This window comes from Homo sapiens, chromosome 6 (assembly GCF_000001405.40).
Source record: "Homo sapiens chromosome 6, GRCh38.p14 Primary Assembly".
Lineage (NCBI taxonomy): Eukaryota > Metazoa > Chordata > Mammalia > Primates > Hominidae > Homo > Homo sapiens.
The window spans coordinates 6,733,519-6,748,864 of NC_000006.12; the positions used below are offsets into that span (position 1 = coordinate 6,733,519).

Genomic DNA, 15,346 nt, shown 5'->3' on the forward strand with positions numbered 1-15,346 from the left:
ATGCTCCCACCGGCCTCTCTCTGTATCAAAACACAGGAGTGAAATAAACCAGCTTTTCAATAAAGAGGCTGGGGTGGGAGGGGCTAGAGAAAGGATGACTTGCTCATGACCCCCAGATCCTCTGACCCATCAGCCCATAATCTCACCTGCCTTACAGTCTTGACCTCTCCCCTAATTCCCACGTACTTTCTTCCTTCCCCCATCTTGATGGCACTGATGGAAGAAACTCTGGACCACTTGCGCCAGGGACACCAAGTCTGCATCCTTAGCCTTGATCGGGCCATGGTGATGAGACAGTCCTCTCCCAGCCCCATTCAGCTCCCTCTCAGCCCCCACAACAGTTCAGCCTCAGATTTTTTCCTGGAGCCTCATGGCTCCCTCGTCATCCTGCACAATAGGAAGCCTTGCCCCCTACTAAACAGGGAAAGGTGAGCTGGCCAGTCATGAATGCCCTGAGCTCTGCAACTCACCCCTGCCCTGCCTCCTGCTCGCTCCTGCCTTCACTGGCCTGACACTGCTGTGCAGACCTCATTCTCCTCTCTGCGCTAGCATCCCCTCCCTGTTCTCTTCACCCTCTCTCCAGGTGTGCCCTTCGTCGTACCCATCACAATTCTCTCCAGGGAAAAGCAAAACCATAATGAAGACAACAAAAATACTCTCCCAGGGATAGCAGGAATTGCACCAAACGGCTTCCTTGCCAGGGCTTTAGCGGGTTTTGACTGGGCACTGAGGGTGGCGAGTCCCTAGGTTTGAATTGCAAAGGCACAGGTGCAGCTGTCGAGCAGAAGAGTGGGTGGTTAAAAAGTGGGCAGATCTCTTGGTTTGTTACTCCAACCCCTTTCTGGCATATATAACCCCCTCCAGACACACCGCTGGAGACTTGAGCCTTCGTGAAGTAAATACCATTATAAACCCCTGCCTCCGAGCAAAACAGCAGAAAACCTTACACACAGAAACTAGCGATCAGATTCCTCCAGCAGCTTTGGCATTCCCTCTAACTTCTGCCCCTCTTTGCCAAATTTTCTAAAAGTACTTTCACTGTCCTACTTACTAACCTCCTGTAGGCTGGTGTTGGGACCCACCACATGTCCATTAACCAGCTCTTATCACACTGGTTACTGCTGAATTTCCAAGTCTAATGGACACTTCTATTGTGTCTTAATAACCTCTGCGGGGCACTGACTCATCACTCTTCCTCCTGGAAATTTCTTCTCCCCTGGCTTCCATGACCCTCTGGCCTGGTTCTCCACCACCACCCCACCCTCACCCAGTCTTTCCCTCTCAATCTGCTTTCTAAGCTCGTTTCAGCCTCTGCCTTGACCTGGCCGTTCTCCCCCAGACAGAGCTCCAACCTGCTTCTCTTTGCTTCTTGTGCTCCACGCCCGCTGTGAGCCATCTGACCTTCTACACACTTTCCTGTACAGCACATACTCTCCTGACTCCTGGATCCGCACTGCCATCCCAGTTAACAGTAACGAGTCTCCCAAAGGGGGTTGAAATCTGAAGATCCAGTCCAGGAGGAATCTAGGAATCCGCAAAGGCTAAACACACTAGGAGTAGGCAGAGCTGGGGGCACCCCTGGCAAGGTGCTGGGGCGGGAGGCTCTGTCAGTTCCTTCTGAGCCTCATGATTAAGCACTTCATGATTAAGTGGGGGATGAGGCTCACTGATATGGGGAGAAAGAGACCTGTCCTGGGATCAAACAGCAGCGCTAAGGCTCCGCATTAGACCACAATCAACCCCCTGCCAATCAACAAAGCAACACTCAGCTGTCCCAGTGCATCTGTTCAGGCTTTGGACACACGAGTGCAGGTTTTAACTCCATGGCACAAGTGTGCATCCGTTTCCAGCCTTATTTGGGGGAGGGGAAAGTTGTTTGAGTCATTTTATATGAAGAATCCACTGAATGGAACATTTGTTACTATTTAATTAGAACAGACGACGCAGCTATGTAAAATGGAAACTGCATTTAACATGTTAAGCATACACAGAATGACCCACTGCAACCTGCCTTCTTAATGGGCATCACCAAGTGACGTCCCCACCAGTCCCCACCGTGAACAGGGATGCCCTGATCATCAGCTGGTTAGACATACACCTAGAAGCATTTTGTAAAGTCAGCTATCAGAATTTAGTCATTAGAATGTACTAAAAACTAATCACGTACTTCAAGCAACATGGATAAAATAAAGTAAATCAACGATGTTTAGTGACAATAAGGCTAGACCCACCATAAAAATGTCAACAGATGGGGAGAATGTTAAGAGCAGAAAACTTGAGACAGATGATGCAAAAAGGCAGAAATGGGGAACTTGGGAGGAATTCTGCTTGTCTAGAGTCAGGATAAGAAGCTTTTGTACCATGTATGGTAGCAGTGGTGTCACTTTTTGGTCCAGCTGGAAAAATAAAAACAGATGCTAGACAGAGGGGGAACAGCAATGCGTGAGATTGCATCCATGACCTAAAGCCCGCCTGGTGTTATTGGGGTGGCCAGGGAGAGGCAAAAGGTGACAACAATGATAGTGTCAACAGCACAGAGTAACTGTGGCCCAAACACCTTTTTGATTGCCATCTATAAGGTGACTCCCCAGTTTCTCTTAGCCCTGAGCTTTCATATCTGCAGACCCATATATCCAAGTGTCTGTTTAAAACATCGGCATGGATAAGTGTTTTCAACCCAACATGTCCCAAACTAAACTCTCAATCTCATCAACAAACTTGCTCCTCCTCCAGGCTTCTGTCTCAGTGACATCCCTATCCCCTCCACCGCACATGCCAGAATCCCTGGAAGTAGCCCTAATTTTTCCCACTGTCTGTTCACCCCACCTCTGAGCCACCATTTTCACACTTCCTCTTCGTCCACGTCACCATCACTTGCATGGACTTCTATACTCCTACGTTGCCTTTTTGCTTCCATTCTCATCTCCACCCCTATAATCTGTTCTCTCCACGGCAGATAGAATAACCATTTTAAAACTTAAATCCAAAATCTTTCTGTGGCACTCAGGATAAATCCCAGCCTCTATGGGCTCACAGGGTCTGGCCTCTGCCGGCTTCTCATTTCTCCTGCAAATACTTCAACCTGCAATGAAAACTTTGCCTATGTGAGTTCCATTCCCAAGTTCTCTTGCATCTGCCAATTCACTCCAAAGAGAAATCAAGCTCCCTTTCAGGCTAAGATGCAAAATAGAGTTTGGCGTATCTCCTAAGGCCAAACTCCGAGCCAATCTTTTAAAATCTCTTGCCCATGTAAAAATTCTTGAAAAGCAATCTCGATTCCCGGCCAGACTCCCTGCCCACGTGTTCCCCACCCGCGTCCCCACAGCTCCGTCCGCCTGCTCTGGTCAACACCACAGCTGGGCCCTGCCCCTTCGGAAGCTGATGCTCCAGCGAGGGCAGTGGATTTATGGTGCAAGGTTACTTGGCGCGTAAATCTGGGCCTCAGGAATCAAGGGCTGTGACATTTTTACAGCCTCCTCCTCCAAGCCCCTGCACGGACATGAGGCAACTGGAGGGAAGAACATCTGGTTTCATTTTTTTTATTCACGGCCACAGCTCCCATCTGACAATATTCTGGATCTCGCCAGAGTTCTGGTCCCGGCTGAATGAGAGGCGAGGCCGTGCTCTGCAAGAGATCTCGTTTTTCTGCCTCACCATGGTGTAAGGAAGCCACCAGGAATTAAAAATGGCACCACCATCACACTGAAAGCATTTGCTCGAGTCCTGGGCTGGGCGGCCACCTGCCAACTTGCTGGAAGTTAAGAAAGGGCATTTCTGAGGGAGGCAGGAGGCGGCTCCGGGCCTCTGTTGCAACAGGGGCTGATGCCGGGGGCTTGCACAGTGCATGCTGGGACTTGTAGTCTCCGCGGGCAAGATGGCCGCTGGGTCCTCAGGGCAGGACACAGGGGCTCCTCATCACCCGTTCCTGTGATCTCAGACACAGCCTGCCACAGCAATGACTGCCATGGCCATAGGTCACCTTGGGAGAGTGCATGCAGAAACACATATCAACCGCTCGACTCTACGCCCAAAGATAAGCCGCTGATTAGGTGCGCCTTTCTGGACATGACTTGTCTCAGTTTCCACATGGCCCAGAGCCCCGCCTCATGACAAGCGGCTTCCTTTTCATCTGATTGAGAACTCCAGACTGGAGCAACTTCAGAAAAACGTGCCCCTCTCTGCTGTCCAACCAGCAGGGATGATTAGAACAATCAGAAAGAGGTCCCTCGGAGGAATGTTCCCCTGCAGTGAACGGAGCACCAGATCCCCTGTCCCTAATCACTGTGTGTGGCTCTGATCAGACCCAGTGAGGGAAACGGTAACTCATCATCTGTTTCCTCAACTACGCATTCGCCTGAATGTCCCAGTAAAGAAAGAAAGCAAAGCAAAGTCCAAGCAGGGCATGGTGCCATGACCCTGTGAGAAGGCACCCTGATCTGCCCTGGGGGCTCCAGTCCACTTTCTTGCCAGGACTTTGAATGCAGACTCTAAGTCACCCCAGCTCAACATCCTTCAGCAGTCCTCACAGCCTAGTAGATAAACTCCTTTCTACACATTTGCTTTTATGGCTCTATCTCATTACTTTCTCATTCTCGTCCTCAATCCTAGTCAAGAGGGTATTTGCCAATGCTTATAGTGACCTTTTACTGAGCACTTACTAAATGCTATGAGCTTTGCTAAGCATTTACACCCATTATCCCATTTAATCCTATATTAATCCATAAGGTAGTTGCCGTTATGCCCATTTTTCAGATGATGAAACTGAGGCACAGAAGTTAAAGTCTTCACACTATCTACCACCATCAAACCTGCAATCAAGCAGATAGTTCTTTGAGGCAACCATGTAGTCAGTCACCACAGGACATGCATAATCACCTACCTCCAAAGGCCCCCAACATTTGCCTGGAAACATTTCTAAGTGCCCTCTCCCACACTCTGCTCCCACCCTTTAATCCTGTGGCCACTCTCCACAACTCCCTTTGCCTAAGTGATCTCATCTATATTCATAGCTTTCACACTTACGACCTCCAGATTAATCCCAGATTCGTATGTACAACTGCCTATTTGAAATGTCTACTTCACTGTACCAAGGCATCTCACATGTAGCATGTCCTGACCATACCCTTCCTCCTATAGATTGCAACTCTTCTAGATTCCTCCCAGCTAAGACTAATTACAAGCAGTGTCCGAAGCCTATCAATTCCAGCACCCTAATGGCTTTTAAATCTGTGCCCTGTTCTCACTGCTTTAGGGTTAGATTACAACCCCTTTTCCTTTTCACCTGATTCATAAAATAACCTCTTATTTTGGAACCTCCACAAACATCTTAAATTGCATCTGCAAGTTCTCTAGCACACCTTCTTTCAAAGGGTGGAGTCTAATTCCCTTACCTTGAGCGTGAGCTAGACATAACAGCTCTCCTCTACCAAATAGAAGATGACAATACGTCATTTCTGAGGTCAGATCACAAAACACATTGCCACTTTCACCACTTTCTCAGATCATTCTTACCTTATTCTGGGGTGAGCCAGCTGCCATGTCATGAGACTACTCAAGCAGCCTATGGCAGGGTTGATGTGGAAGGAACTGGATGTATCTACAAACAGCAATCACCAACTTGGCAGCTATGAGAGTGAGCCACTTGGAAATGGTCTGCTTGCTCCAGCCATGCCTTCCAGTGCCTGTGACCCCAGCCTGCACCTTCATGGCAACCTCCTGGGAGACCCTTAACCAAAACCTCTCAGCTAAGCAGCTCCAGAAATCCTGATCTCCACCCTGCCACACACACAACCAAATGTGCTGTTGTTTGAAGGCATTATGTTTTGAAGTAATTTAGTGTGCATGATAAGTTAAACCCTTATCCCGTTCCCCACTTATCACAGCCAAAGCTGTATTTTTAAAATGCAAGTGTGATTATGTCATTCCCCTACTTAAAATTCTTTTATGACTCTCCATCACCTACAGGCTAACTGTGAAACTCATTAAGACAGCATCCAAGTTCTTCAGCATCTGGCCTCTTTGGCTTCAACTCTCAAGAGCTCACTGAAGGACTCTTCTCTGGCAGGCCATGATTTGTTTTATATCCGATACCCCTTCTCTCAGATACTGCTTGAAGTGTTAGATCACACTAAGAGTTATAGGTAATTTTTATCAGTACACGCATGAACATCTACGAGGGCACTGCCCACTCCTGTCCTAAGCAATAGAACAGTACTGAGCTAGGAGGAGGCAGTCAGGAAGTAATTTTCATGCAAGAGAGAATGCAATTGATAGGGAAGTTATCTAAGACTGATTTAAATAGCAAACGCTGACTGAATCAGAGCCCAATTCCAGCAGACATTCTCTATCAACTCATCTAGATAAAACCAACCTCTTTGGAGACTAAGTCCCTTTCTGGAGACAGAGTCTGAAAAAGTTTTGTGTTTTCTGGAACAGCCTGGTGGGATGGTGTGATGCTTTAAGGTGGCACCTGCATCCTCCCATCCCCCCACGGCCCCGATACCTAAGGCATCCTATCGGGTCAACCTGACACCTGGGTGCCATTGGAAACCAACTGAACCTGGAACACTGGGATTTCAGGTTCAATGTGGGTTTGAAGGGCGTGCCTATGAGAGACCTGGGAAGTCAGTCCTGGCACATTTACTTTAACCAGTGATGTAGCTAAGTCACTACTATATACAGACCTGAAGACTTTAGATATATCTGTAATCTTATAGGGGAGGAAAAGTGAGTGGTATTTTATACTGCTCACCTAAGTGATTTTTTATGTAGGTTAGGAAACACCAATTTTAGTCACTCTTAGAAAAAAGTATTTGTGTAGGGGGATGCCTGGGGGCTCTGGAAGGTCACTTAAATTGGTGGTTGCCTCACCAAGGTGATGAGCCTGAAGGCTTTTTTTTTTAATGGAGTCTCACTCTGTCGCCCAGTCTGGAGTACACGGGCATGATCTCAGCTCACTGCAACCTCCGTCTCCCAGGTTCAAGCGATTCTCCTGCCTCAGCCTCCCGAGTAGCTGGGACTACAGGCACACACCACTATACCCAGCTAATTTTTGTAATTTTAGTAGAGATGGTGTTTCACCATATTGGTCAGGCTGGTCTCAAACTCCTGACCTCAGGTGACCCACCTACCTTGGCCTCCCGAAGTGCTGGGATTACAGGCTTGAGCCACCATGCCCGACCTGGAAGCTTTTATACTTAGAAATACCTGAACTCCTCCACATGGCTGACAAGGCCCACAGAGCGGCAGGGCCACCCAGGCGGCTCTGGCCTCCCCCGCCCCACCTGAGGCTGTTACCTGGGTCTTTCATTCCTGGGATGTGGTGAGGGACTTGATGTCTCCTCCTCCAGATTTTCGCAGGGCTGGTTCCCTTAGGTCTTCAGTCCTAGCTCAGATGCCACCTCCTGGGGGCTTATTCCCTGCACCACCTTTGAGAAGTCGCCCACCCCTGTGTCAAAGACAGGCTGGAGCAAGGAATTTGCATTTGGGTAAAAGCACTGCTGATAATGATAGCTAAGAAAACTCATTTCTTCATACCAAAACCTTGGTCCACTGGGCATTGGTGATGGAGATGGGAGGATTCATCCTTGTTGCTTCGGCTTTTTGGAAATGATTGCTTTTAGCACTTGCTCCACAAAGGGGGGAGAATATAGAAATGCTCTGGTTTCACTAGAGGGTTAATGATTTCTTCTAGTGCTTGCCTAATTGCCTTTAATTGGCAAAAACTTGAAAGAAGCTGCTGGCTTAAACGCCAGCAGTTCATAACCCTCACATAGGTAATTTACTTTGAGGCAAGGGAGTGGCTTTTGTGCCCTAGGGTGGGAAGGAGAAGGGGCAGTGTAACCTCTGGGCCAGGCAGGCCTCCCTCAGTGCAGGGCCTTAGCTGCTGACTAGCAGCGGCGAGGCAGGGCTGCACTTAATGAAAGTGACACTTGCATTCCTTCCAAATCCCCACTGGTCACCACAGCACCTCCTACAGTGTCTGGATACTGATGTCTCCAAGGCTGGTGTTTTCAACCTCTTGATTCTTTATTATGGACTATTCCATAGTCTAATTGTATGCCTGTCTTCTTGTCCTATTTATAGTGGGACACATTTATATCATATTCCTTTTTATATGTATTATATTACAACGATTATATATAGTATGTTATATAAGGCAATATTATATATAAGGAATATATATAAGTAGTTACATTTTAGTCCTGAAATTTATCAAAGATTAGTTATAATGTGATATAATATGTAAGAATTATGTAAGATAATATATATAATATATTGTATTATATTCCTTGATAAAATTCAGGACTAAAAAAAAGAAAGTGAAATAACCAGCCATAATCCCTCCTGGCTGCTCCATGCAGTCATCAGTGGTGTCCTGGTAAGCTGGCTCTACAGAGGAGCAGGAGAAAAAGCCCTGACATGCCATTTGCTAGTTTCCCTGGTATAAATACTCCTACCATGGCCAACCAGCTAGCAAAATTTCTAAATATATTAACAGTCAGCTCCCAGGAGCCCATACAGGCCAGTCATAGCACACCCACAGCAAAACACCTTCCCATCGGCCCATCTTAGGGCTACTGCACTCTGAGCTCCTGCTGCAGCCCCCAACTAAAGAAAATAAAGGCCAAATACGGTGGCTCATGCCTGTAATCCCAGTACTTTGGGAAGCCAAGGTGGGAGGATCAGTTTAGGCCAGGAGTTCAAGGCCAGCCCAGCCAACACAGCAAAACCATATCTACTAAAAATATAAAAGTTAGCCGGGCATGGTGGTAGGTGCCTGTAATCCCAGCTACTTCGTAGGCCAAGGTGGGAGAATCACTTGAACCTGGGAGACAGAGGTTGCAGTGAGCTGAGATCGCACCACTGCACTCCACCCTGGGCAACAAGAGCGAAACTCCCACTCCACAACCACAACAACCACAACAACAAAAAAAAAAAAAGGAAAAAAAAAAAAAAAAAAAAAGAAAAAGAAAAAGAGGCAAGACTAGTGCCTTACTCCAAACACTGGTAGCCCTTATTTTCTAAAAGAAATCTAAGCTGGCATACCAAAATCTGGTTGAGTGAATATTCAAGAAAAAAAATCACCAGTCACTATGAACAATCAGTCTCTTATATGAGAAGCATATTGATTGTGTGTCCTGTCCTGCTTCTCAGCTTGTTGCTGAGTGTGGGGGCGGGGAGAGTTCTTGATGGCAGGGACCTTACCTCCTTAATTCTCCTTTGTCCTCCAGCAAGGTCAAAGTATTCAATCCACAGGGAAGCTCAATTATCCTAATAGGAGGATAGCTGCCCTTACTGAGAGTTAACCGAGTTAGGAGCCACAGCCTTTACAGAAAAGATGGATGAAAGCTGGAGATGAACCTGACATACATAAGGTACCAGGACTGAATCCTATTCATTTGACAGATGCAAACAGTCTTCATCCAGGCTCTGCTGGAAGGCAACCAGTGGAGGCTTACCTGGCTCCAGTGCAGGGCTCAGCAGCAAACCTGGACCTGCCCCCACATAAACTGGAAATTTCAAGGCTAAGCCAGGTATGAAGCTATGCAGAAAGAGACAAGACACATATGCCCCACCTCAGCCCATGCACACCCCCGGCAATGCTAACCAAATCCCATCCCAGCCAAAGGGCCAGGGAAAAAAAAAATGCACCACATGGAAAAGAAAAAATTCAGCAAATAGCTGTCAAGACTAAATGCCTAGGAAACAGCTCTGTGGCAGAGCTCCTCCTTATTGTGGGGGGAAAAAAATAAATGTTCTGCACCTATATATCTCGCGTGGATAAAAACAACGAAGCTGTTGTCTCACGGATTGTGTCAACATGGTAAGGGGTCCTTACCATGTGCCAGTAACTGGGCAAAGCGATGAGAACACAAAAGCAAAAAGGAGAGGCTGTGTCCTCCTTCAGGTCTCATGGCCCTGGCAAGCAGGCAGCCGAGTCCCCGCAGGTGTTCACGCACGTGCAAATGCCTGCCGACTGCAGAGTACGGAGCCAAGAAGTGGCAGAGGATGGAGACCAGAGGCAAAGCAAGGATTCAGACCAATGGCCAGCCCTGTCGAGACCCAGGCTGGGAAGCCAACACCAAGTAGGAGGTTAAAGTACTGAAGCCAGTCACCGAGATAGAGTCAAGTAGGTTTGGAGTAGACGTTGAGGGCAGCACCTGCAAGATTCTTTCAGGTACAGAAAGGAGCCTGTGTTCTCCCCATAGTTGGGAAAGGAGTTATTAGAACTACTATTACTGATTGAGGAACTCTCGAGGCAATCTAAAACACCATCAACCTACCATTATTTGGTGTACCACTAAGTAACAAATCCTAAAGTATTATGACACACCACCAATGTTCCACGCATTTCAACTTCAGAAATGCTAATAAAAACCAGCGTGTATCTTACAATCAATGAAATACAGTAGTGGGGCATAAATACTTTGGTGAAATATTTGAAGGGAAAACGGATACTGACACTGAATTGCCAGAATAGATTAAATAACGTCACACTGGGACACACTTATCACGTTGGGAATCCTGGAAAACCATCGAAACAGGCAGGGCACAGCAAAAAGAATGAAATGGTGGTCTCTGGCTCAGCCATCCTAAGAGTGAAATTCATCAGTTAGGAACCCTTATTAACTTGGTGTCTATTCCTCCATTCTTTCAGTGTCTTCTTTCTCAAATCATATCTATAGGGGGAAAATGCATTATGAGCACCAAAATGTGAAAAAGTGCATTAGTTCTGTGAACTTCTGTACCTGTGATCCCTTTCCTCATACATGTATTGTCTCCTACCCACGGTTGGGTTGACTTCCACTGGAGTGACACACACATAAAGACACAATGTCAAAAATAAGTAGCTGTATTGTTCAACACCCATAAGCTTGGGCCTGGTGGATGAATGGCCGCAGGTGGGAAGTAGGCAATAGTTAGGTCTCCTTAGAGAGACAGGTATGGCAGAGCTACAAGTTGAAAACAAGATTAAGACCACCTGCATGGCGAGACTTAACACACAAAACTGATGAGCCATGAGGAATGCATGTTTTTAAACAGACTGCACCAGTACAAACCAGTCTATCCTACAGGGGCTAATGGCTGGAAAGCCACAAAAGGTCACTCCCCTAGCACCAGTAACATCAGCTAAGATGGAACACTGGCAGATCTACTACTAGCAGGATTAGAGAGAATAGTAGTTAGGCTAAGCATCACATGATCAGTCTGCCGGCCCCAGGCCTTCTACCCTAGTTTGTTCTCTAGGGTATCCTACCCACAGCACGGGCCACGCAGAACAGGGCTGAAGGATTATGGGTTTTCTTTACAATCCTCCCCAGCTGTCAGAAACTGCCCTTATGCCCGACAATAATCCTACATTAAATCACCCCAGCAAACCAAACCCTTATCTAGGCTGGACCACCCCAGACTTACCCTGTGTGTTAAACTTTGGAAAGCTTTTGGTTTCACTGATTTCAAGAATGAATCCATAAACCCTTGGGGTGAGTGTTACAGTTCTTAAAGACAATGTGTCCAAACTTCGTTCTTTCTGACGTTCAGACGTATTCAGAGTTTTTCTTCTAATAGTAGGTTCACGCTCTCACTGACTCAATAGCCAAGCCGCAGACCTTCATGGTGTGCGTTACAGCTCATAAAGGGAACATAGACCTAAACAGCAAACAACAACAAGATTTACCGCAGAACAAAAGAACAGAACTCGCACAATATAAACACACACCACAAAAGAAAACCGACCAGGTTATAATTGCTAGCGCGGCAGCCTGCTTTTATTCCCTTATCTGGCCCCACCCACGTCCTGCTGATTGGTCCATTTTACAGAGAGCCGATTGGTCCGTTTTGACAGGGTGCTGATTGGTGCGTTTACAAGCCCTGAGCTAGACACGAAAGTTCTCCACGTCCCCACTAGATTAGCTAGATACAGAGTGTGGATTGGTGTATTTACAAACCTTGAGCTAGATACAGAGTGCCAATTGGTGCATTCACAAACCCTGAGCTAGACACAGGGTGCTGATTGGTGTGTTTACAAACCTTGAGCTAGATACAGAGTGCTGATTGGTGTATTTACAATCCCGTAGCTAGACTAAACATTTTCCAAGTCCCCAGCAGATTCAGGAGCCCAGCAGGCTTCACTCAGTGGATCCCACACCGGGGCCGCAAGTGGAGCTGCCTGCCAGTGCCGCGCCCTGTGCCCGCACTCCTCAGCCCTTGGGTGGTCGATGGGACTGGGCGCCGTGGAGCAGGGAGCGGCGCTTGTCGGGGAGGCTTGGGCTATGCAGGAGCCCACGGCGGTGTGGGGGGAGGCTCAGGCATGGTGGGCTGCAGGTCCCGAGCCCTGCCCTGTGGGGAAGCAGCTAAGGCCCGGCGAGAAATCGAGCACAGCAGCTGCTGGCCCAGGCACTAAGCCGCTCAGTGCCCGGGGCTTGCGGGCCGGTCCGCCGCTCGGAGTGCGGGGCCGCGGAGCCCACGCCCACCCGGAACTTGCGCTGGCCCGCAAGCGCCGCGCGCAGCCCCGGTTCCCGCTCGCGCCTCTCCCTCCACACCTCCCCGCAAGCTGAGGGAGCCGGCTCCGGCCTCGGCCAGCCCAGAAAGGGGCTCCCACAGTGCAGCGGCGGGCTGAAGGGCTCCTCAAGCTCTGCCAGAGTGGGCGCCAAGGCCGGGGAGGCGCGGAGAGTGTGTAAGGGCGGCCAGGACGCTGTCACCTGTCAATTTCAGGGGCTTAGAGGAAGGCTTCACCTCCCCTGCAGCTGAATGAAAGCTGCCACGTCCCACTTACCCTCTGGGGTCGGATCTAGAGAGTCCCCGGGGCTGCTCTACCACACCATATTCCCTAGATCTTTCTGATCACTGCATGTCCCCTGCGAGGGGGTCTGCACATCTGCCTGCTGGGGGCTGGGAGTGACCGAGAGCCCCAGCTCCCAAACTAAGACCTAATCCTGAGTGTGCAGAATGGCAGGTCTCAGATGCAGAGCCACCGCTGGCACAGAGTAACATGGAAAATGCCTGGCCATGGCAAAAGTGCATTCTGCTCGGAGTATCTGGCAGGAATCGTAATCAGGGCAGAGGCAACTGCATTTGTGGGGAGAAAGTTTGGGGCGATGCAATGTCCTGAGCAGCTTCCTGACCCCCGTCATCGCCGTCCTTGCTTTGTGCCACCACCCTTGAAGATACCCCTTTTTGTGGTTCTGTGGGAGCTGCTGCAGATAAGGACGGGGTGTCGGTGTCTGTTTCTCCTCAGCCGCTCTCAGCGAGGTCACTGGGTGCCAGAAATGGAAACATAAATGGCAGCTGCTGTCCTGAAAGCAGGTGGCTGCTCTGACCGGGGAGGGAAATGGCTTGGGGACTTACTCATGCAGCCTGAGAGCCACAGAGTAGGAATAAGCATGCAACTGGTGTGTGTGGGCACGATTGTGTATGCCTATTTCTGCATGTAAGTTCCAGAGCTGTGAGCTCACACACACAGGCACACAGATACACACAGGAACACACAGACACATGCACATGCATGCACAGACACACACAGACACGCAGAGACATAGACATATACACACAGACACAGAGACATACACACATATAGACAGATGCACACATACAGACATACACACAGACATGCACAGACACAGACACACACATAAGCACACACAGACATACCCAGAGACACAGACACACGCACACACAGACACTGACACACACAAACACACGCAACACAGATACAAACACACAGAGATACAGAGGCACACATATATTTATATATACACAGACACACACATACACATGCTTACTCACATAGCACACACATACACAGAGACACATGAAGATACGCACATACCACACGTATGCAGTCACACATAACACATGCATCTCCCACCCCATTGGTGGTGTCCACAGGGCTGTCCGGAGAGCAAGCAATCAGTAAGTGTTTGTTGGATACTAAGTGAAGGATGAAATGACTGAATGCACCAGTAGGTGAAATGGATGCTTCTGCTTGCAGGGCAGGCTCTAAGATTTGAACAGCGGCATGGCAGAAGCATCGCCACAAGTGCTGATGAGGTGATGGCTTAAAATACTGCAAGCCCCATGCAGAGTGAAAACTCCTTTCACGGGAGGAGATAGACGGCCCAGGAACTGTTGCTCTAGCCTCATTATCTGTGAATGATTGATTCCAGACAGGAATTGAAGATGAGGCAACTGAGAAAAGGAAAAGGGAAACACCCTGTGTGCCTGTTAAATGCCCTTGTTCACCTGGCGAGAGATATGCATATATAGTCTCACCACTGACTATCTTTTTATATATATGGTGTATATATAAAAATATAGAAGTGTACAGTGTATGTGTATATGTGTGTATATATGTGTATATGTCTGTGTATAGACACATATATGCACATACACACATTATGTACATTTATATCTATATAACGGCAATGCCTGAGCTGGCTATTTCCAGGCGGCCAATATCCTGTTTTAAACTGATTTAAAATATTGCCACTGTAAACTAATATCGTGATTTGCAACCACTTAAATTCTGGAAGAATTTCTCAGGACTGTGATGAAAATCCCAGCGTCTGGTGGTTCCCTCATCGCAGCTTAACCCTAATTGCCTACACTAAGTCCAATTAGTGGCAAATCAGATTCCCCTTCATTTCATCTGATGAAGTAAGCTTTGGCAGGAGCATCTGCCCACGCAAAGCAGGGTGAAGACAGAGAGAAGAACGGGGCTGCAGGGAACGGGGACACGAGTGTGGGGACCCAAGGGTGACCACAGTCCTCCTGCCCCTGAGTCCCCACGGCTCCGTGCCTCCGGCTTGCAGATTCCTTTCCCTGGATAGAGTTTTTGCAACTGAGTTTGGTGAGAATCAAATCTATCAGGTACAGTCCTAGAAACAAATAACTTGAAGTCTACTTTAAAGGCAGATTCTCTTGGTCTCTTTCTTTCCTGTGTCTGTACCTCTGTGCATCTCTAACACACACACACACACACACACACACACACACACACACGGCCCTTCTGTAAGCACACTTTCCTCGCTGTCCCAGTCCTCTCAGTGTCCACGCTCCTGCAGGCGCTGACTTGGGTGGCGGTTGCAGAGGAACCAGTAGGACTGGCACGGCCATGGCCATGGAGCATGTGGTCCAGGGCACAGATAGCAGCAGCTCTGGTTCCAAAGGCAGTGCGTCCTGCCAAAGCCTTCTCTCTCTGCATCTCAAGGTCACAATAATAGATTACGAAAGAGTGGAAAAGCACAGCTCAGAAAATGGGCCATGGGGACTTTCCTCTGGGTGAGGAGGGAGAGAACAATGCCCGATGCGGCAGCAGGTCGTTTGAGCTCTGCTAGGGAAGGAA

At 48.3% G+C, this 15,346-nt stretch overlaps 1 long non-coding RNA gene across 1 annotated transcript in view; it reads right to left on the reverse strand.

Moving 5' to 3' along the window:
- LOC101928004 (uncharacterized) overlaps positions 1-15,346 on the reverse strand; it is a 106,380-nt gene that overhangs the window by 38,727 nt on the left and 52,307 nt on the right. The gene's annotated exons all lie outside the window — the stretch shown is intronic.